The sequence below is a fragment of the Homo sapiens genome, chromosome 15 (assembly GCF_000001405.40).
Source record: "Homo sapiens chromosome 15, GRCh38.p14 Primary Assembly".
Classification (NCBI taxonomy): domain Eukaryota; kingdom Metazoa; phylum Chordata; class Mammalia; order Primates; family Hominidae; genus Homo; species Homo sapiens.
The window spans coordinates 88,840,796-88,862,513 of record NC_000015.10 but is presented as its reverse complement, the minus strand read 5'-3'; the positions used below and the strand labels follow the sequence as shown (position 1 = coordinate 88,862,513).

General features: G+C 50.9%; 1 protein-coding gene across 9 annotated transcripts in view, besides 3 other annotated features; it reads right to left on the bottom strand.

Moving 5' to 3' along the window:
* The window catches only part of ACAN (aggrecan), a 71,918-nt gene that overhangs the window by 12,840 nt on the left and 37,360 nt on the right, over positions 1 to 21,718 (bottom strand). For 6 of the 9 annotated variants that reach the window (NM_001411097.1, NM_001411096.1, NM_001135.4 and 3 more), the window contains 8 exons: positions 20,647 to 20,774; positions 18,866 to 19,159; positions 16,632 to 17,009; positions 15,097 to 15,271; positions 14,476 to 14,603; positions 12,783 to 13,076; positions 10,481 to 10,720; positions 3,097 to 7,662 (listed from right to left, as the gene is read on the bottom strand). In NM_001411097.1, coding sequence (NP_001398026.1) covers positions 3,097 to 7,662; positions 10,481 to 10,720; positions 12,783 to 13,076; positions 14,476 to 14,603; positions 15,097 to 15,271; positions 16,632 to 17,009; positions 18,866 to 19,159; positions 20,647 to 20,774 — 6,203 coding nt within the window. Of the gene's footprint in view, positions 1 to 2,074; positions 2,189 to 3,096; positions 7,663 to 10,480; positions 10,721 to 12,782; positions 13,077 to 14,475; positions 14,604 to 15,096; positions 15,272 to 16,631; positions 17,010 to 18,865; positions 19,160 to 20,646; positions 20,775 to 21,718 lie in introns of all 9 variants that reach the window. The other 3 variants (NM_001369268.1, NM_013227.4, XM_047432215.1) reach the window with 1 other exon arrangement.
* Positions 14,373 to 14,540: a silencer, noted in NCBI's record as "fragment chr15:89391205-89391372 (GRCh37/hg19 assembly coordinates)". NCBI's record gives its function as "represses an EF-1alpha promoter that drives an FKBP-Casp9 reporter gene in an ReSE screen in HepG2 liver carcinoma cells {active_cell/tissue: HepG2}" and the evidence as "EXISTENCE:reporter gene assay evidence [ECO:0000049][PMID:32094911]".
* Positions 14,598 to 15,098: an enhancer, noted in NCBI's record as "H3K4me1 hESC enhancer chr15:89390647-89391147 (GRCh37/hg19 assembly coordinates)". NCBI's record gives its function as "activates a minimal SCP1, AML or CMV promoter by ChIP-STARR-seq in primed H9 embryonic stem cells {active_cell/tissue: H9 hESC(primed)}" and the evidence as "EXISTENCE:reporter gene assay evidence [ECO:0000049][PMID:30033119]".
* Positions 15,099 to 15,599: an enhancer, noted in NCBI's record as "H3K4me1 hESC enhancer chr15:89390146-89390646 (GRCh37/hg19 assembly coordinates)". NCBI's record gives its function as "activates a minimal SCP1, AML or CMV promoter by ChIP-STARR-seq in primed H9 embryonic stem cells {active_cell/tissue: H9 hESC(primed)}" and the evidence as "EXISTENCE:reporter gene assay evidence [ECO:0000049][PMID:30033119]".

The following is a 21,718-nucleotide window of genomic DNA, read 5'->3' as shown; positions in this document are numbered from 1 at the left end:
CACTCTTTGGAGATGCTAAAGCTTCTCTTAGCCAGTAGAGTGAGAGATGGGGAAAGGGAAGCAATTTTTATTAAATGCCTCTTCTGACCAGATGTTGTACATGGGTGATCTTCACCCTCACAGCAGCGGTTCTCAGTCCTGGCTGCACATTGGAGTCGCCTGGGAGTTTTAAAAACCTCAATGCCAAGGCCACAGAACCACTTCAATCACAATCTGTGGGGGTAGATCTCAGGCATCATAATTTTTCAAAGCTGAGAACCATTACCATCGATCCCTGTTTACAAATGAGGAAAATGAAGGCTGGGCTGCAAGTCTTGAATCCGACCACCTCAGATTCCTCAGCTCCTCCCCATTCTGGCTCCCCTGAAGTCCAGCTTCAGTTTTTTGAGACCAGCAACTGGTTGTTATGTTCAAGAGGGAGTTTCTTATTTAGCCGAGTGTGTTAAACACGTGAATTAAGGTCTTGATTCTTGATTCAATCCACTTACTCAGTATAGTTAGGCAAATTACTTAACTCCTCTGAGTTCCAGTCTCAAATGGGGGTAGTTACCAAGCTGCTTACAGAGCCATCTGGGGAGAAATCGTGGGAACAAAAGCCCTGTGGAAATATACATGATCACAGAGAGGCTGTCCTTACAGCAGAATAGTTACGGCCCACTGACACTTACTCCTATTAATTTCAGGGCTGCCAAGAACATGAGCCTTGCTTTGACTTCTGATGCTAGTGTCAGATTTTTGCCTCAAGTATCAGGTTAAGAAGGATTTCCCAAGAGTGGAGTCACCCATCAGGGGTGAGTGATGGTGGGGTGCAGCTATGGTCCCTGGGGTCACTATGGCCCAGTGGAAATGCTGTCCCCTTCTGCAGTAAGCCCGGGACCTTCCCAGGATAGCCCACCCTCTCTGTCCTTGCAGCCCACACGTTGGGGAAAGAGTGAATGAATATCTACCCTAACGTCTGTTTATATATACATATATAGTTACTGCATATGTACCATGTATACAGCATGTTTATATGATATATAATAATATATAATGATGTATTAATTTGCATGTATATTAATATATATAGACACAGAATTCTTCTCTGTGTTTGATGTAAAGGCTATCGAAGGATAATTGCCCGACATGAGGTTTACGTGGAAGTGATTGTTTTTTCTCCAGGATTCGTTTTTTCATTTTTGCACATGTCCTAGGAGTGACCCCTTTTATGAAAGACCCTAGGTCTCTGATTCTTGACCTAGGAGGGAGGCTGGGGATAAGGGCACTGGGGTTAGTGGGAGAACTAATGAAAGAACATGAGCTTGGTGGTAACTGGGCATTTCTTTCCTCAAGGTGGTGATGTTGATAAGATGAGATGAGATGTCCTCATGACCACGGGCCTCCCGTGTGTCCGTGGAACAACAGGTAGATTCTAACCATCTCCTTCCGGGGTCCACCTCAGATCAGAGGGTCCCCAGCCTCTCCACCCATCCCACAGGCTGCTTCACCCATAGCTAAGGACAAACAGGCTCATGGTGGGTGCCTGGGCAGACGTGCTGCTGGGTTACAGCTGCCCTACATCCACGAATCCCTGTGCTGGGTGATTACCGTTGTTTGTGTCATTTCCTTCAGGGCAAGAAGGGGACCCAAACCCCACGCAGACCCAAGCATGGAGGCAACTTGGTGGGGTTCACTCTGCACGATACAAGATGGCCCCACTCAGACACTCCTCACCAGGAGCGGAGAGGTGTGACCCGCTGTATTTAATACTCACCCCATGCTCGATATTTCTTTGAAGTCTCATCTCCAAAATTCAAGCACATTTTTCATTCTACTCCTACAATAGTCATCAGCCTGATATAAAAATACTTAGCAACTTAATTACTTGACTCTTTTCTCCTAAACCTAGACATTCGAGAAAGATAAGCCATGTCTGTCCTGTGGCTTCTGCCCCTGACATGTCATCATGCAGCTCCTTCCCAGCCTGAGCCTCAGTGGACCTTGGTTGCCTCCTCCCACCTGGGGACCCTTTGGGGGATGAAGAAGTCTGTCCAGCGCCTCCGCCCTCACTCTCCACGGCCAATGAGGGCCTTACCTATGTTACAGTGCTCGCCAGTGTAGCCAGGGGGGCACAGGCATATGACGTGTCCCTCTGTCTCCTTGCAGGTCCCAGCTCCACAGGGCTCCTCTGCACAGGACCTGGCGGGGGCTGCAACCCCCAGGGGAGAGGTTGAGCATCAAGAACACAGTCACCTGGCTACCATGGCCTCCAAGACCTCAAAGTTGGGGCATGAGGTTCCTGAAGTCCACGAGGCTGGCTTTGGGTCAGCACTTTTCTGAGGCCTCTGTCCCTCCTGGGCACCTGGCCCACAGCATCGGGGGGAGCTCTCTAGCTGTGAAAGCTCTCTCAGCACAAAGGAAGGTACAAGGGACCCCAGAGCAAAAAAAAAAAAAAAAAAAAAGGAAAATCAGCTACCGCTACCAGTGCCCGCTGCCCGGCACTTGGAGTTATGTCACGGTGAGACAATCATGATAGTACAGGAGCCCCTTTGTACACGGATGGGGTTGGGGATGCAGAATCTAAAACCAGATAGCCAAATGACACTTCATAGTTCCTTAAGTTGTGCAGGTTTTAACCCTGCACAAAATAAATATTCAGACATAAACACCATCAGCAGATTTACTCTCTCATCTTACACTCACTCCGGGGCAGGGTGCATGAGCAGAATTTCTAGCACTATCTAGACAGTCATCCTTCTCTCCCTGTGCCAAGTACAGATAGTTGAATTCACGTGTAAAAACTCACGGACTGTAACTCCGCTGTAACGATAACATCACTCATCTTTACAAGTGTGCACTGCATGCAGAGCGTGATGCTAAGTGCTTGCTTTATCTATCTATGTTTATGTTCTGCCTAATCTTCCCTGGTAGAGTATTATCCTACTCTTACGTTACAGATGAGGCTCAGAGAGGGGAAGACTATTGCCTGAGGCTGCACAGCTAACCTTTGGTGGAGTTGTTCTTGGAACCTTAAAGCTATGCTGCCTCCTTCTGTGCTGCAGTAGGCTACAGTCTGAACTACCTAAGCACATTTAAAGGGGGAAAAAATCACAATACCTGCAGCAGTTGATTCTGATTCACGTTTCCATTCCGGAGAAGCTGGGATGGAAGCATCTGTTGGGGAGGTGGCTGTTTCGACTGTGTGAGTCTCTTCTCCTGAGTACAGGAGGCTTGAGGACTCAATTTCTAGATGCGTCTCTGCAGGGCGCTGGGTCTGCTGGGTCCACTCAGACTCTGGGATGCTGGTGCTGATGACAACGCCCAGCTGCGAGGTGTGACCAGACAGGTCTCCGCTGATTTCAGTCCTGTCTCCAGAAGCCGTGGGAGTGGCTGAAGGCAAGCCTGGTGCCTCTGTCCCCACATCACTGGTGGTGGTGGATTCTCCACTCACTTCTGGGGCAGCGGACGCCTCGCCTTCTTGAAATGTCAAAGTGCTGCCGCTCACTCCTAGGCCAGAGGATCTCTCAAGGTTAGCTTCGTGGAATGCAGAGGTGGTTTCACTCAGATCAGGGGACCCAGAATCTTCTCTGCTGGCCTCAGGGGCGGCAGATGCCCCGAACCCAGCTTCAGGATAGGCGGACGTCTCACTGCTAGATTCTGGGACTGATGATACTTCTACTCCAGACCCAGGGAGCACTGGGGTAGCTCCACTAATGTCCCCAGCTGTGGAGACTTTTCCACTGGACTCAAAAAGCTGGGGTGTGTGTGTCACAGGGGGCCTTTGGCCTAGTTCCTGAGAAATAGTTGGTTCAGTAACACCCTCCACGAACTCAGAAGTGATTAAAGTAACTTCTGGAAGTCCTGAGGCCTCTCCACTGGTGCCCATGGCTACAGAGGATTCTCCACTTACATTGGTGGTGCTGGCAAAATCCCCACTAAAATATGGAGTACCTGGTGGCTCTCCGCTGGGCTCTATCAGCCCGGACTGCAGCCCACTTAGGTCCAGAAATCCAGAATGCTCCCCAGACATGTCTGGTGCTCCAGAATGAGCACCACTGAGTTCTAAAATGCCAGAAGGCCCTTCTCCTGCCTCTTGGGCTGTTGGAGCCTGGGTTACAGATTCCACCAAAGTTCTGTCTACAAGAGAGACAGTGGGGAAACTAGATGGAGTTCCACTGCCATAATATGCTCCCGAGGGCAGGCTGCTCCCAATCTCAGCTCTGGAGGATTCTCCACTGACCTCAGCTATGCCACTTGGTAGGCCACTGAATTCCGGAGTCTGGGATGTAAACCCACTGGAATCGACTGTTCCAGAAAACTGTCCACTGACATCCACCATCCCAGATTTGCCTGACAGATCTGCCTCTCCGGAAGGGAGGCCACTGAGTTCCACAGACCCTAAGCCTTCTTCTTCTTTAAATGTAGTAGGGGCCACTTCAACCAAACTGGTGTCCACAAATGTAATCCCAGAAGATTCACCGCTGCCACTCGTGGTACCAGAAACCAGGTCAGGGACTCCTGATGTTGCCCCACTGAACCCTGGTAACCCTGAAGGCTGCCCACTGAGATCAGGGACCCCAGATGTTTCTCCACTCAGATCAGTTATGCCAAAGGGTTGACTAGTGCCATAAAGAACTCCAGATGCTTCTCCACTAATACCTGGTTGTCCAGAGGACAGCCCGCTAAGCTCAGTCACTCCAGATGTTTCCCCACTAGTGTCAGGAAACCCTGATGGCTGTCCACTGACACCAAAGAGTCCAGGTATTTCCCCACTGACATCAGGAGACCCAGATGCTTGGCCACTGAGTTCAGTTCCTGAAGGGAGTCCACTAGCTCTCCCACTAATGTCCAGCTCACTGGAGGGCAGTCCAGATATTTCTCCTGCACCACTGATGCCAATGGTTCCCCTCCCTTCCAGTTCACTTGCAGTGGAGGCTGTGACCACTTCCACCAATGTAGAATCCACTAGGGAAACAGTTGGGAATCCAGATGGAAGTCCACTAAAGTCAGGCAGGCCAGAGGGTGGGCCACTTCCAAGGTCCACCCCAGAATACTCACCACTAAATCCAGAGGGAAGACCACTTGTTTCTGGAGCTTGCCCACTTCCTAGAGTTCCAGAAGGCAGTTTGCCCAAGTCCAAGTCTCCAGAAGCTGACCCCACCAAGTCTTCTTTTCCAGAAGGCAACCCACTGAGGTCCTCAGCTCCAGAAGCTGAAGTCTCTAGACCCTCCCTTCCAGAAGGAAGCCCACTGAGGTCAGTCCCTACTTCAGAAGCAGAGGTCTCTAGACCTTCTCCTCCAGAAGGAAGTCCACTGAGGTCCCCAAATCCAGAGGCAGAAATCTCTAGAACTTCTTCTCCAGAAGGGAGCCTGCTGAGGTCCTCTACTCCAGAAGCAGAGGTCTCTAGACCTTCTCCTGAAGGAAGTTCACTGACATCCTCTATTCCAGAGGCAGAAGTCTCTACAACCTCTCCAGAAGGAAGCCCACTGATGTCCTCTACTCCAGAGACAGAAATCTCTAGAACTTCTCCTCCAGAAGGAAGTCCACTGAGGTCCCCTACCGCAGAGGTAGAAGTCTCTAGAACTTCTCCAGAAGGAAGCCCGCTGATCTCCTCTACTCCAGGGGCAGTAGTCTCTAGAACTTCTCCAGAAGGAAGCCCACTGATCTCATCTACTCCAGGGGCAGTAGTCTCTAGAACTTCTCCAGAAGGAAGCCCGCTGATCTCCTCTACTCCAGGGGCAGTAGTCTCTAGAACTTCTCCAGAAGGAAGCCCGCTGATGTCCTCTACTCCAGGGGCAGCAGTCTCTAGAACTTCTCCAGAAGGAAGCCCGCTGATGTCCTCTACTCCAGGGGCAGCAGTCTCTAGAACTTCTCCAGAAGGAAGCCCGCTGATGTCCTCTACTCCAGGGGCAGCAGTCTCTAGAACTTCTCCAGAAGGAAGCCCGCTGATGTCCTCTACTCCAGGGGCAGCAGTCTCTAGAACTTCTCCAGAAGGAAGCCCGCTGATGTCCTCTACTCCAGGGGCAGCAGTCTCTAGAACTTCTCCAGAAGGAAGCCCGCTGATGTCCTCTACTCCAGGGGCAGCAGTCTCTAGAACTTCTCCAGAAGGAAGCCCGCTGATGTCCTCTACTCCAGGGGCAGCAGTCTCTAGAACTTCTCCAGAAGGAAGCCCGCTGATGTCCTCTACTCCAGGGGCAGCAGTCTCTAGAACTTCTCCAGAAGGAAGCCCGCTGATGTCCTCTACTCCAGGGGCAGCAGTCTCTAGAACTTCTCCAGAAGGAAGCCCGCTGATGTCCTCTACTCCAGGGGCAGCGGTCTCTAGAACTTCTCCAGAAGGAAGCCCGCTGATGTCCTCTACTCCAGGGGCAGCGGTCTCTAGAACTTCTCCAGAAGGAAGCCCGCTGATGTCCTCTACTCCAGGGGCAGCGGTCTCTAGAACTTCTCCAGAAGGAAGCCCGCTGATGTCCTCTACTCCAGGGGCAGCGGTCTCTAGAACTTCTCCAGAAGGAAGCCCGCTGATGTCCTCTACTCCAGGGGCAGCGGTCTCTAGAACTTCTCCAGAAGGAAGCCCGCTGATGTCCTCTACTCCAGGGGCAGCGGTCTCTAGAACTTCTCCAGAAGGAAGCCCGCTGATGTCCTCTACTCCAGGGGCAGCGGTCTCTAGAACTTCTCCAGAAGGAAGCCCGCTGATGTCCTCTACTCCAGGGGCAGTGGTCTCTAGAACTTCTCCAGAAGGAAGCCCGCTGATGTCCTCTACTCCAGGGGCAGTGGTCTCTAGAACTTCTCCAGAAGGAAGCCCGCTGATGTCCTCTACTCCAGGGGCAGTGGTCTCTAGAACTTCTCCAGAAGGAAGCCCGCTGATGTCCTCTACTCCAGGGGCAGTGGTCTCTAGAACTTCTCCAGAAGGAAGCCCGCTGATGTCCTCTACTCCAGGGGCAGTGGTCTCTAGAACTTCTCCAGAAGGAAGCCCGCTGATGTCCTCTACTCCAGGGGCAGTGGTCTCTAGAACTTCTCCAGAAGGAAGCCCACTGAGGTCTCCTACTCCAGAGGCAGAGGTCTCTAGAACTTCTCCAGAAGGAAGTCCACTGAGATCCCCAACTCCAGAGGCAGAGCCCTCTAGGATCTCAGCTCCAGAGGGCAGTTCACCAACCGTAGGAGTGCTGGGCCACTCAATTCTCTCTTCATCCCCTGAGGGTAGTCCACTTTCCACAGGCAGGCCTGAGCCCACTGTGGAAGTAAGACCACTGGAGTCCAGGTCTCCAGAGGGCAGTCCACTTGCCCTGTCCCCTGACAGCTGCCCACTGAAGTCAAGGTGTCCTGAAACATCTCCACTGCCTGTGAAGTCACCACTGACATCAGGGGCCCCAGATTCCTCCCCAGAGCTGGGCAGCTCAGTCCAGCTGGGCACGGGGGGTGAAGGTGTATACGGCTCTTCCGAGGCTGATGGTTCCTCTGAGGGGGATGGCTCCTTGGAGGGGAATGGCTCCTCTGAGGGGAACAGCTCCACTGAGGGGAATGGCCTCACTGAGGGGAATGGTTCCTCTGAGGGGGATGGCTCCTCTGAGGGGAATGGCACCTCTGAGGGGGATGGTTCCTCTGAGGCAGAGGGCACTTCAGTTGCAGAAGGGCCTTCTGTACTTTCCTCTGTTGCTGCGCCAGTGGGAGGCCAAGTAGGAAGGATCCCTGTAGGAAAGAAGGAAGAAAGATGAAGTGTGGGTTTATTAACTCTGCCCCACTTTAAGCTCAAATGTAGAATCTAAACTCCATTCTTTCCACAGTAAAATTTTTCTCTCAAGAGCTCAGCAACGTGTCCAAATGCTTTCTAATGGAACTGTGTAAAGTGTCTTGGAAATGAAGAAAGGAAAGAAGGAAGGAAGGAAGTATAGGGAGAAAAGAAGGCAGAAGGACAGGGAGAAAGGAAGGAGGGAGGTAGGGAACTGGGAAGCTCCCCCAGGTGCCCACAGGGCCATGGGCTACACAGGTTGTACTTTGTGTGAGATGCGGGGGCCACCATCCACACAACCCACTGGATGTGGGGGCCTGCCCACCACTGAAGACCACCAAGGTCATCCTGCAAGTACTTCCACATTACCATCTCATTGATTTGGTCCCATGGTTTTCAAAGCTTGGACTCGCAGCAAGAGCACCCTCTGGGAGCTTGAATAGAAAAGCAAATTCCTAGACCTCACCCCAGCCCCACTGATGACCTCACCCCAGCCCCACTGATTCAGCAACTCTGGGAAGAAGTCTGGCATACTGTGTTTTAGCAAGCCCTCCTTGTGATGCTGGGGCTCACTTCAGTGTAAGAACTGTGCATTTTAAGCCATCCTTCTGAGGAAGAAAGGGCCAGGTGGTGATGTTTGTAAACATACAGTGACTTTCTCCAGTTCTGAGAACTCTGTTACAGACAATTTGAAAAACAGAGAAATGAAAAAAGGAAACCCCACAATTCTAACTAATCAAGGCTACATTCTTTGCTTCAGCTCTTCTTTCCTTTGGCATTTGAAAAACAGCCACACTGCATTTTAACCTTGTATGTACTTTGGGGCCTACTTCCCAGATGGGGCCCCTGAGCACTGAGGGTGCTGGGTCCACTGAGCAGGTTTAGTTTGTTCTTGCTGAGAGGAGAATCTTAGAGGGGGAGGTGGGGCATGAAGCATAGCAGTGGTGCCATGAAAAAAAAAAAAAAGTTAGCTGGGCAGGACCCGAAAAAGATTCTTTTTATTTTGATAGGTATGTATGTATGTACGTATGTATGTATGTATGTATGTATGTATGTATCTATCTATCTATCTATCATCTATCTATTTATCTATGAAACACATCAGGATGACCATTTGCAGTCATAATATAACAGTTCCCTCTTCAATAAATTTACATTTCTTTCTTTTTTTTTGGAGAGAGGGTCTTGCTCTGTTGCCCAGGCTGCAGTGCGGTGGCACCATCTTGGCTGACTGCAACCTCCACGTCCTGGGTTCAAGTGATTCTCATGCCTCAGCCTCCCGAGTAGCTGGGACTACAGGTGCGTGCCACCACACCTGGCTAATTTTTGTATTTTTAGTAGACACTGGGTTTTGCCATGTTGGCCAGGCTGGTCTTGAACTCCTGGCCTCAAGTGGTCCTCCCACCTTGGCCTCCCAAAGTGCTGGGATTACAGGTGTAAGCCACCGTACTCAGCCCTACATTTCTTTTTTTTAAAGCAAGTCAACTTAAAGAAAAATACATGGAGCAAATGATAGTGCAAATCGTTCCCAGATATGGCTGAAATCAGCAAGGTGGTCAGGAACTGAAGTCTAGAAAACATTTCTACGGGGCTGCTGGAGCCACTTTCCCACTGGTAACTCCCCACTCGTGGTTGCCAGAGTCCTGTGCAAAGTCACACCCCGATGCCAAAGAGGACTCAGTCATTCTTCTCCTGGTGAAGGGCGAGGAAGGTCACAGGCAGGTGTGGCTGCTGGGTGAGGCTGCTAGGTCAGACTCTCCCCTGCTCTACAGAGGCATCCTAACCTTCTGATATGGAGGGAGGCCAGGCTTTGCATCTCCAATGCCCAGAAGAGCACCTGACACCACCAAATTGCTCTGGAACCATGCACAGAATGCTGATGCATAGCTGGATGAGTTAGTGGGAGCTCGGATATACTCCTTTCTTCAGATGCACATACCCCCAGGGAAACTGACTCTACCAGGTATACACACATACTACTGTACATTGTTTTAAATCAAGCTTTCCCCAGTTGGAAGCTGCTAGATATGAACAATGCTCTGTGGGAGTGGGGGGAGGCTCTGTGGTTCATTTGGGACACTCTACATCTATCACCTCCTCTTGGAGACTCACAGTGCACATTAGCACATTCAAGGCTCTGAGAAGGTCTGCAGTGAGGAAACCTGTTAATCTCTGTAAGCCAGCATTTCCCAAACTTTAGTGGCCACCAAACACTTTATCCAACAAGGTTTAGGGACTGCTGCTTTCATCCTGTTAAGTCTCATCTGGTTTAATTGTGACAGAGTTCAGGAAGTTCTGCCTGAGGAGGCCTGGCCCAGAAGAGGGAAATGGAAGGAGGAGAAAGGCAAGGAGACAGGTCACAGTCAGACTTCCAACAGTAACCCCCTCCCTGATTCTTTCTCCTCTATTAGAGATCTTCCCACAAGAGAGGGTTGAGGTTAGGGTAAGGGTGTCAGTGCAGGAGGACAAGGTAACTGAGGGCCCTCTCATCAGCACAGTCCTGGGCATTTGGGGGTTCATGCAAGGGAAATAAGGTCCAGAAAAGTAAATGTGTAATAAAAAAATTTTATGGACAAGGCTGTTTTTGTCACTCTGGGGCAGGTCCTAGAGGCCAGCTGAGGTGGCTGAAGTTGCCCATAGCAGAACACCCAGCCAGTGTCAGGGCTGGGGAAACAGCACAAATCCCAGGGAGGGAACCCCCCCGCCCCACCAGGCACACTGTAGGAAGACAGGGGTATGCAGCTTCAGGGTGTGCCCCAGAACCCAAGCCATACCAACCTGGCAGCGGGGATGTGCCCACTGGGGTATAGGCTGGTTCCCATTCTGTCTGGTTTTCTGGCTCGGTGGTGAACTCTAGGATGGCAGTAGTCTCCCCTGAGGGTACAGCAGTTGTCTCCTCTTCTACGGGGACAGCAGCCACACCAGGAACCACTTGGGTCACGATCCACTCCTCCACACCAGAGGGTGATGTGGGTGTGCCACCCTCTTCTTCTCCTGGAGAAGGAACCGCTGAAATGCCTAAAGGAGATGTGGGTGGTCAGAGTGAGTCCCTCTCTTACCAGTGACCCGTCCTTGGCTGGCCCTTCTTGAGGGGAGCTAGGGGACTCTGAGGTGGCCAGGCCCCACCTCCTAGTTCAGCAGATGGCTGTTTGCCTTCTCGCTTAGTAAGAGCCATCGGCACCAATGATATAATATCCATATGCACCATCAGCACTTTAGTTCCAGTGATCTGGGGCATCTCCCCTGCAGAATTGACCATATATGCCGGGCATTGCTCTAAAGCCTTGTGTATCTAAAATCACTTTATCTCACAACAGCTTTATGAGAGAGATATGATTATCTCATTTTACAGATGGGGAAACTGAGGCACAGAGTTACATGATTTGCCCAGAGTCAATGGCTTACAAATGTCAGATCTAGTCTTTGAATTTAAGCATCTGGTACCAGACTCCACGCTCTCAACTACTGAACAACCTTGGGGGACAGGGATTATGTTCCAAGTGTGTCACGACCAAAAATAGGAGGATGGTACTCAATTCCATGAAACCATCTCGGCATTTGAAAGCGTGAAGGCAGGATTCATGGGCTGGGGGTAACTGTACTGGTGTGGGGGAAACCAGCAGTGGGCTTGGTCAGCAAGGAAGCTGAACTGTGCAGGATAATACACAAGGCTGAGTTCACGGAGGGTCAGGGGTGGGAGGCTGGGGGCAGCATGGCTGGGAAATTTCTGGGAGGTTAACTGGCTTGGTTTCTGCTTCCCAGAGCAGGGAAGGGGCACTGGGACAAGAGCCTCATCAAAGCCTCTGGGAGAGAATTGGACTTGACTTATTGAGGCTGGCTGAACTTTGAATTTTTTTTTTTTTTTTTTGAGACAGAGTCTTGCTCTGCTGCCCAGGCTGGAGTAGAGCAGAATAATCTCGGCTCACTGCAACCTCCGCCTCCTGGGTTGAGGTGATTCTCCTGCCTCAGCCTCCCTAGTAGCTGGGATTACAGGTACACACCACCAAACTAGGCTAATTTTTGCACTTTTTTTTAGTAGAGACAGGGTTTCACCATGTTGGCCAGGCTGATCTCGAACTCCTAACCTCAAGTGATCTGCCTGCCTTGGCCTCCCAAAGTGCTGGGATTACAGGCGTAAGCCACTGCTCCTGGCCTTGAATTGGGTTTTAAAAGGTGACCCTGGATGTCTGGGAAACTTGGGGACACTCAAGTTTTTTCCCCTTAAGTTTATTTGAGAATAATTCTAGATTCACAGGAAGTTGCAAAGACACTCAGTTTTGATGTAAACTATAAAACATGGCACAGGCTGTTATTACAATCTACATTCTGGTCCATGCACCCAGACCCTCCATGGACTCTGCAGGAACTCATCCAGAGCCCAGCAATTCCGTGGCTATGCCCTGGCCATGCTTACTATATTGCTTGATGACATCACTCTCAGAAGTCCAGTGGGGAGTGATGGTTGAAATGGTAGCATATCCATAGCATAGGTCAACGAAAAACTTGAACCACCAGTGCTTAGTGAAGAATAATAGAATAATTTGACTAAACTCATCACAAAAATATTTGCAAGCAGGAGAGAATTTGACAAGAGTGTACAAATTACAGGTTGTACAAAATAAAGCTATATATTACAGCTTTACATATAGATATGTATATGAAATAAAGCTAACATTTATTGAGCATTTACTGTGTCCCAGGCACTATGCCAAGGGCACCACGTGCACTTAATTAATTCTTGCAGCTCTCTCTGAAGTAGGAACCATTATATCTCCATTTTCACACAGCTATTAAGTAGCAGAGCCATAACTCAAATTCAGGTCTGCTTCATTTCTAGTAGACATAAATACCAGCTCAAGTTCTTATTTATCTCTACTTGTCTCTGGGGAACTTTAGAAGGATGACCTTGCCTTGGGGTCAAAGCCTGCGTTGTGCTGGTTTCAGAGCTGGCTCTGCCCCAGAGGGACTGACATTTTCTTGCTCTGATGGATGGGATACTGGGTGGTGGCAGGATCCGGTGAACCCAGTGGGGTCCTCTCCAGACAAAAGGGGCTGTTGGAGCCGAAGTGAGGCTGCATACCTCGGAAGCAGAAGGCATGGTGCCGGGACAGTGGGTCTGGGAGGCCCGTCTGGTTAGGGTAGAGGTAGACCGTTCTCACGCCTGGCTTGTCCCCACCGCAGGCAGGCCTTGGGGTGACGATGGGGTAGCGGAGGCTGCCGTCGGCCAGCCAGCCGGCATAGCACTTGTCCAGGCCGCGGCTCCAGGCGGCGTAGAGCTGGCCCGTGGTGGCCAGCGTAGCATTGTGAGATTCACAGAACTCCAGTGCTTCCTGGAAGGTGAACTGCTCAAGGCGTGTGGCGAAGAACACCTCCCCTGGGGGCAGAGGCAAGGGGTAGAATATGACCCCCCCACACTCAGGCCAGGTCCATCCCTGCCCACCCAGGACAGAGTTCCTCTAACCCTCCTCACCAGGGCTAAGACCCAGCCCAGCTCCATCACCCCTTTTTTGACCACTCCCCCTTAGATTTTCTGGGACCCTGGGAAATAGGTGACCACCGCTCTGGTTTGTACTGGACTGGGGTTTCCCGGTACATAGGACTTTCGGTGCCAAAAAAGGCAAAATTCCCGTAAAACTGGGCTGAGTTGTTTCCACAACAACTTCTCCTCCGTCCCTCTTTTCTGGATTCTCCACTCACACTTAGGCACCCCCTCCCTTGGCTAAGCGAGGCAGCTCGCCTGGGCCCCCTCCAATCCCTTTGCACCCCTACACCACTGCACTTATCACTGTGACTGCTGTGGACGTGCTCACCCCACACCCTGGGAACTCATCCAGGGCAGGGGCTGGGTCCCAGCACCTAGCGATGTACCTGATACCTATCCGGTTTAGGGGGAGGAGGGCTTACACTTACTGAACACCTACTTGTGCCAAGAACTTTTCATACATATCTCATTTAATACTCAAAAAAACCTCTGATGTACATATAAATCAGCCCCATTTTATAGATGAAGGAGCTGAGGCCTAGAGAGGTTAAGTGACTTGCCCAGGGTCTTGAAACGAGTGAGTGGCAATGCCGAAATCTTTCTGGAACACCAGCATTTCCAAAATTGCGTTCAGTGGAAATTTGGTAATTTTCATGGAAATTAAAAGAAATGAAATAAAACAAAATAAAGGTCTGTGGTTAAAAATTGGGCAATGCTGAGTTAAAGAGAGTTAAGGAAGTTTTTCTTTTTCTTTCTTTTTAAATAAGTAGAGACCGGATTTGGCCATGTTGCCCAGGCTGGTCTCGAACTCCTGGGCTAGAGCAATCAACTCACATTGAGGCACCTCTGCCTCTCAAAGTGCTGGGATTACAGGTGTGAGCCACTGTGCCCAGCCTAAAAAGGTTTTTTGTTTTTGTTTTTACTGCAGGACTTCTCAGTGCCTTTGATTTGTGCCCAGGCATTGGGACTCTCCAAGAAGGAGTTGGTGTATATAGCGTTTATTTATAATAAACTGAGATTTACCCACAGACCTCATTGCTTTTTAAAGGGACTGATGCTCCCCTGCAATGCTGGAGGAGACCACATGAAACATTCAGTAGGAGAGCAGGCACTAGATCTGAGGGAGGGGCTGGGGGCCTTCCTTTTTCAGCAGGACCCTTTCCCACCTGGAAAGCTGGGTGGAATCAGGGGTGGGTGGGTGGTAACCCCCTCTCTTCTTTGTATCGCCCTGTCAGCTCCCTGCCCACCCCCTGCCCATCTAGGGCCCGAAATGTGAGAATGTGGCTTGTACCCTCAAGTCTGTCTACAAAGCAGTAGACATCGTAGGTCTCTGTTGATGGGCGCACGCCATAGGTCCTGACCCCTGGGCTGCTGTCCTTGTCACCCACGCATGGGGTCCGGGGGCTCACAATGGGGTATCTGCAAAGGAGAGTGGGAGGAGAAGATGAAGGCCTGTTCCAGGGGCTGGTAGATGCACGGCCCTGGGCTGAGGCCAGAGGCTACTCAGGGACTTGGAGATGTCTTCAGTTGTCTGGTGGTATTCAAACCAGGAAAAAGCCCCTTATGCAGCAAGTTCTCTGAGCAGCCTGGGGGAAGGATCTGGTGGCTCCTGGGGGATTTCTGGCTTCAGGAGAGAGCAGCTGCATGGAAGGGCACTGGGTCAGGCTGGAGGGGAACGGGGCACTTGAGGAGGGGGCTGCTGCCTCTGTCTGATGGGGAGAAATGACCAAGAACTGAACATTACTCGGTGCCCTTCACCACCCTTTCGGGATATGCCTCAGTTGAGTCACTAATTCATTCATTAACCCACAAGGTATTGGGTGCTCAGTGTGCTGGGGGCGGTGTCAGGCTGTGGCTCCTTAAGCCTGACCTCTTCAATTGGGTTTGGGCTGGGCGAGGAGCATGGCTTCACCTGACGGTCTGGTCCCGCAGCCAGCCGGCGTCACACTGCTCATAGCCTGCTTCGTAGGCGGCCTGGAGCTGCTCCGGCGAGGCAATGACCGCCCCCGTGCGCAGGCAGGCCTGCTGTGCCTCCTCAAAGGTCAGCGAGTAGCGGGTGGGTCCCGGGCGGTAGTGGAAGACGACCCCTGGGTGGGGAGGAGGGAGCGGTCAGGTTCAGGGACCCACGGTGTGCAGCTTCCAAGGCTCCATGGGCACAGAGGGGGGCCAACTCCTGCTGCCTGACATATTGGATTTATCTGGGCAATGCAGGCTGAAATCCCACTTGGTAGCCACGTGGGTGTGATGGTGGATGGCAGCGTCCATCTGCCCCTCCCCTGCGTGGGAACCCCACCAAGGCCATTACGGAACAAGGCCACACCAGAATGTCCTTGTTCATAGACTTGAGTTTGGGAAGCACTGGGCTCTATGCTACCTGACATCCCATTTTCACACATGTATTAAGCACCTAGAACACTGTCATCTTAGAACAGGAGTTGGAAGCGTTTTCTGGAAAGAGCCGAATGGTAAATATTTTAGGCTTTGTGGGCTATGTGGCTTCTGTTACAACTACAGTTATCCTTCGGGATCCAGGATCTCCTCAGATACCAAAATCTGCAGAGTCTCAAGTCCCTGATATACAAGTGTAGTATTTGTATAAAAGCATCTCTAGATTACCTATAAAACCTGATACAACGTCAATGCTATGTAAGTAGTGGTTATATTGTATTGTTTTAAATCTGTATTACTTTTATTGTTGTATTGTTGTTATTGTTTCTTTTCTTTTGGAATATTTTCCATCTACGGTTGGTTGAATCCAGACATGAAAGACTGACTGTATTCAACCTCGCTGTGATTGTCCTCAGTTAGTCATAGACAACTTGTCCACAGATGGCTATGGCTTTGTTCCAATCAAACTTTATTTGTGGACATTGAAATTTGAATTTTATATAATTTTCATGTGTCACAAAATATTATTTTTCTTTTGACTTTTTGCCCCTAACTATTTAAGAATGTAAAAATCATTCTTAAGTCATGGGCCATATGAGAACAGCTAAACCCAGCCCACTGGCCACAGTTTGCTGGCCTTTGTCCTGGGAGGTCAGAGCAGTGAGAGGCCTCAGGGGTCATCCAAGGCAGTGGTTTTCTAGTGGCTCTGTTTTGTTGGGGTGTCTGATGGGGCAAGGAGGGGCCCTGGACAGAAGGAGCCCAGTTGTTCTCCACGCTACTTCCCTTAGAACTATGTGGCACATGTGCCTGCTTGATACAGAGACTGGATTCCACATATGACCTCATTTGAAATAAATCCCTGGTGGCAAGAGTGTGGACCTGACTAGTCTGGCCTATTGTTTTTGTTCCACAGATGAGGAGAATAAGGTCTGAGAGGAGAGAACATTGTCCCACGTGCCAGGTTAAGTAGAAGGTACAGCCTTCAACTGCGGGAATCCCTTCCCTGCAGGCCAAGTTCTCTCCACCTGCCCCTGGATGCACCCACGGGCAGCTACTTACCCCCTGGCAAATGCGGCTGCCCAGGGACAGCGGTCACCTGCACGACGAGGTCCTCACTGGTGAATGCCGTGGCAGGGCCCAGGCCAGGTGTGGGAAAGCCCCAGGGCCTGGTGGCCTCTCCAGTCTCATTCTCAACCTCAGCGAAGGCAGTGGCCCCTATTTCAGGGGCAAACGTGAAGGGCTCCTCGGGTTCCAGGGGACTGGGGGAGACCTCGAAGATGGGCTTTACGGTAAGGATCACGCTGCCTCGGGCTTCACCCTCAGTGATGTTTCGAGGCAGTGGCAGCTCCATGTCAGGCCAGGTCACTGTCTGGACGGTGATGTCCTCCTCACCCCCCACTCCAAAGAAGTTTTCTGGGATGTCCACAAAGTCTTCACCTAGGGGAGGGGCAAAGACAAGCTTTAGCCTCTCAGCCTGGGACCGGCTTGAGGGGGATGAGGAGTGGGCTGGAGATGAGCATGGCTCCCCCTCCTTCCCTGCTGGGGCAGGAGGGCACCACTGTGTGCCAGGCACCTTGCCAAGCCCATTTCAGGGGTACTCAGCTATCGGCATTCATTGTAGGAGTCCCCACAGTTTCAAGATTGCAAGAGTGCAAGAGCTATCAGAGGGCAAGATATTGACCAATGAGCTGACGGCTCATAAAGATCAGTTCCCACCCCAACAGCCCTTCCTGCTCAACACAGCTGCTGCTTCACTCGTCTCATGAGCACCTTACCAACCATCTGATGCTGTAACTATCCAACAGGACCAGGTAAGTCAGTTATAAGGAGAAATCAGAAAATCTTGCAGAAAGTGCAGTTTGTGAAGTTGATGAAGGTGGCTTTGGAGAACTGCCTGTCTCATAGTCATGGAAAAATGAGGGTACCATGAGAGTGATACTACTTCCAAAAGAGTGGTTAGAATACCAAAAGGTTAAGAGAGGCTTCGAGGGGGAAATCCCAGCTATTAACCCTCTTCCTGTAAGATCAGGTTGTGGAAATGAAACGTGTAATGAGTTGTCATTGTGTTATCACCACTTAGTACATAAAAGTTTTGCAACTCCTCATTCATGTGAGGCATTGTTTTTTCCTCCAAGAATTAGCATGTAATTATAATTATAACCCAAAATGTGTTAAATGTAAGATAAAAACTTATTTGAACATTTTGGTCTAATTTTTCAAAATAAAGTCCCCATCAAACTTTCCCCTACTCTTTTCAATAACATTTTGTGGCCGGGCGTGGTGGCTCACGCATGCAAGCCCAGCACTTTGGGAGGCTGAGGTGGGTGGATCACCTGAGGTCAGGAGTTCAAGACCAGCCTGGTCAACATGGTGAAACCCATCTCTACTAAAAATACAAAATTAGCTGGGCATGATGGTGCACACCTGTAATCCCAATCTACCTGGGAGGCTGAGGCAGAAGAATCGTTTGAACCTGGGAGATGGAGGTTGCAATGAGCTGAAATAGCACCACTGCACTCCAGCCTGGGTGACAGAGTGAGATTCTGTCTCAACAATAATAATAATAATAATAAAGTAAAATGACATTTTGCCCAGCCTGGGCAACATGACAAGACCCCATCTCTACCAAAAAAAAAAAAAAAAAAAAGCAAAGCATGGTGGTGCCTGTATTCCCAGTTGCATGGGAGGCTGAGGCAGGAGGATTGCTTGAGCCCAGGAGGCTAAGGCTGCAGTAAGCTATGATTACACCACTGAACTCTTGCCTTGATGACAGAGTGAGACCCTGTCTCAAAGAAAAACAAAAAAACAAAACACAACAAAACCCATTTTGACCCTCCTTTTAGACATATTCAATTTAAAAAGGCAGATAGCAGCACCCTCCCATGGGTGCCAGGGTCACATGTCAGACCCCCAACGTCTTTGCAGGCGGGCACCCCATCTCCTCACTAGACAGATGAGAAGAGTGAGGTTCACAGCCTTGACTTTGCCAGGGTTGCACAGTAGTAGGTGACAGAGCTTTGATTCAAACTGGAGAAAACAGTTTGGAGGTTTTTAAGCCTCGTCTGTGCTGATCCGATGAGACAGAGCTAGATACGCTGCAGTCTCAAGAGTCTCTACCTTAGGGCTTCCTAGGAACCAGTGAAAATGGAGGGGTGTCCTAAAAACATGGGGTTCAGGTACCCCGTGGCCCCTTCAAGGGCAAAAACCAACCCTCCCTTTCCAAGATCCCCTCTTCCCTCTAGGACCCCATTTTAGTGGCATGAACTCCCTTCCCACCACCAGCCGTGCCCCACCTGTGTAGCAGATGGCGTCGTAGCGGGATGAGGGGTCGGGGTAGCCCGTCTGGTTGGCATGCACGTAGACGGTCCTCACGCCCAGGAGGTTGCCACCGCAGTTGGGCCGGGCCTTGGAGATGGGGTAGCGCACGCTGCGGTCGGCCAGCCAGCCGGCGCTGCACATGTCCATGCCAGCCTGCCAGGCCAGGTAGAGCTGGCCCGTGGTGGCCAGCCGGGCACCCAGCCGCCGGCACTCATTGGCTGCTTCCTGGAAGGTGAACTTCTCTGGAGATGTTGCATAAAAGACCTCACCTGTGAAGGACACAGCCAGCTGGGTAAGGGTCTTCTCCCCCCTCCCCCTGCTCTGCATCCCCAGAGAGATCCACACTTTTCCACGAGGTCTTGGGAGTCCTTTAACTTCCCAAAGTCCTGGTCCCATATGTCTGCATCTCAGATCTTGCCCTTCATTGCTTATTTCTGGGCTTTTGTGTAGGATGACATCAATTTCCTAAAACAAGGGGACCAAGAAAGAAGCAGCAAAAGTGGCAGGGAGATTGGGCAAAGGGTGGAGCAAACTTGAAATCTGGGAGGAAAATTCTGCTCAAAAGCCTCTTTGCCCCATTTGCATTCCACCACAGGGGGATCTTTCCTAGGAGTTAAGCATTGCCTACTCAAGGCAAATCCTTTTAAAAACCTCAAATTTTCCTGGGAAAAGCAGGCATCAGACCTTGAGCCCTTGGAGCAGTGGTTCCCAAACTGGGGTCTCTAGACCCTGAAGAGTCCGTAAGAGCATCATTCGAGGACCATGAGCTTAAAAAAAATTTCCCAAAATCTAACAAGGTTGTGTCAGGGGTAAGGGTAAGGGGTAAGGGTGGGGGCGGACGGCATCCACTCACAGGGGTGGTTCTGGCTACCCCTGCTCAGTGGCAGCTCTAACTGGCAGTTCTATTTGTCTTTGGTTAGCCAAATGTGGGAACACACAAATAACTTGTTACCTAATAGGCAGGTTTGCCCCCTGGGGTGGGAATGCGGCAGGGGGCCTACGATGGTGAGAAAGCCTGGCCGGGGCCCCTCACCCAGAAAGTGCCAGTTGTCAGCTCTTCTCCCCAGCCTGGAGGAGCTGTGGGCACTGTGCTCAGGTAGGGGGGAGGGGGGATGGGCAGGGAGGGAGGAGATAGACATTGCAGAGTCTGGAAAGTACAAAGGAATATATGGGTGCAGATGGGGGAAAGGGTGTCATCCACGTGCGTGGGTAACTCTGTGACTAAAACTGGTGCCCTTTACAAAACAGAAAAAGCCCAGGTTCCTCTCCACTGCCCCCAGCTCTGTCCAAGAACAGAGCTGGGGCTGCCCACAGGGACTCTGGGAGAGGGTGGCTGGGTGGCCAGCTGCCCTGGGAGCTTTGTTGCAGGTGTAGTGTCGCTTGCGAGGGTAAGGCTGGGCTGGACTTTGACAGCATGGTGGACCTTAGAACAGGGATGTGCTTGTCACAGCAGCCAGGGTCTCAGCTGGGAGGGGCAATCCCAGGTGAGAAACCTCCTGTGACATGTGCTCTTGGGTCCAGTGGCGACATCAGACATTTTGCAGATGTTGGGGCCACTGAGACCCTCTCCAAAGTGGAGTGCGAGGGGTGCAGACCTGTAGGCCTCAGCCCACCTCCCTTCATGGCAGAGGAGGACAGAGTGTGTCAGGCCCTGAGCTGGCAGCCTGTGTGATCTCAGGTGTCAGTGGGGAGATGGGGAGGGGAAGGTGGCCTTGGGAAGGGAGCTGGGTGCCTCCTGGTGGGCAGGGCAGCTCACCCTCCATCTCCTCGGCGAAGCAGTACACATCATAGGTCTCGTTGGTGTCTCGGATGCCATACGTCCTCACACCAGGAAACTCATCCTTGTCTCCATAGCAGCCTTCCCGGGGAGTGTGGATGGGGTATCTGCCAGGAACCCGAAATGGAGGTGTGACACTCAGGGGACAAAGGGAAGCCCATGGCCTCTGCCTTTGAATCCTCCTCCCGTGGGAGGAAACAGCAACTTAATATTGCATTTGACAATGTCTCTTCTGAATATGTCAACTGCCTATCTGTTTTTACAGTGAATCATGATTAAAGGCAGCCCCCACTACTGAATATTTAGTGGTACAAAACACACTTTCTCTATCAGGGGCTCACATATTTTTTTCTATAAAAGGCAAGATAGTAAATATTTTAGGTTTTGCATAGTCTCTGTGGTGACCACTCAACTGCCACTGTAGCGTGAAGCACCCACAGATATGCAAATGGGTGTGACTGTGTCCCAATAAAACTTTATTTACAGAAGCAAGGGGTGGGTTGGACTTGGCCTCTGGGCCATAGTTTGTTAGGCCTCACTCTATATCATTTGAGTCTCATGTCAACCCAGTGAGGTAGGTGCTATCATCAATCTACTTTACACTTGAAGAAACTGGGGCTCAGAGGTGTTAAATCATTTGTCCACAGTCACGCAGCTTCCAAGTGCCAGAGCTGGAATTTGAGTACAGTTCTTTTATTTTTTGAGACGGAGTCTCGCTCTGTCACCTAGGCTGGAGTGCAGTGGCGCGATCTCGGCTCACTGCAAGCTCCACCTCCCGGGTTCACGCCATTCTCCTGCCTCAGCCTCCCGAGTAGCTGGGACTACAGGAGCCCACCACCACGCCTGGCTAATTTTTTGTATTTTTTAGTAGAGATGGGGTTTCACCATGTTAGCTAGGATGGTCTCGATCTCCTGACTTCGTGATCTGCCCGCCTTGGCCTCCCAAAGTGCTGGGATTACAGGCATGAGCCACTGCGCCCGGCTGAGTCCAGTTCTTTATGCCCCCAGGTGTGGGCTCTTGCTCTATGCTAGACTATTATCTCATCTTTTT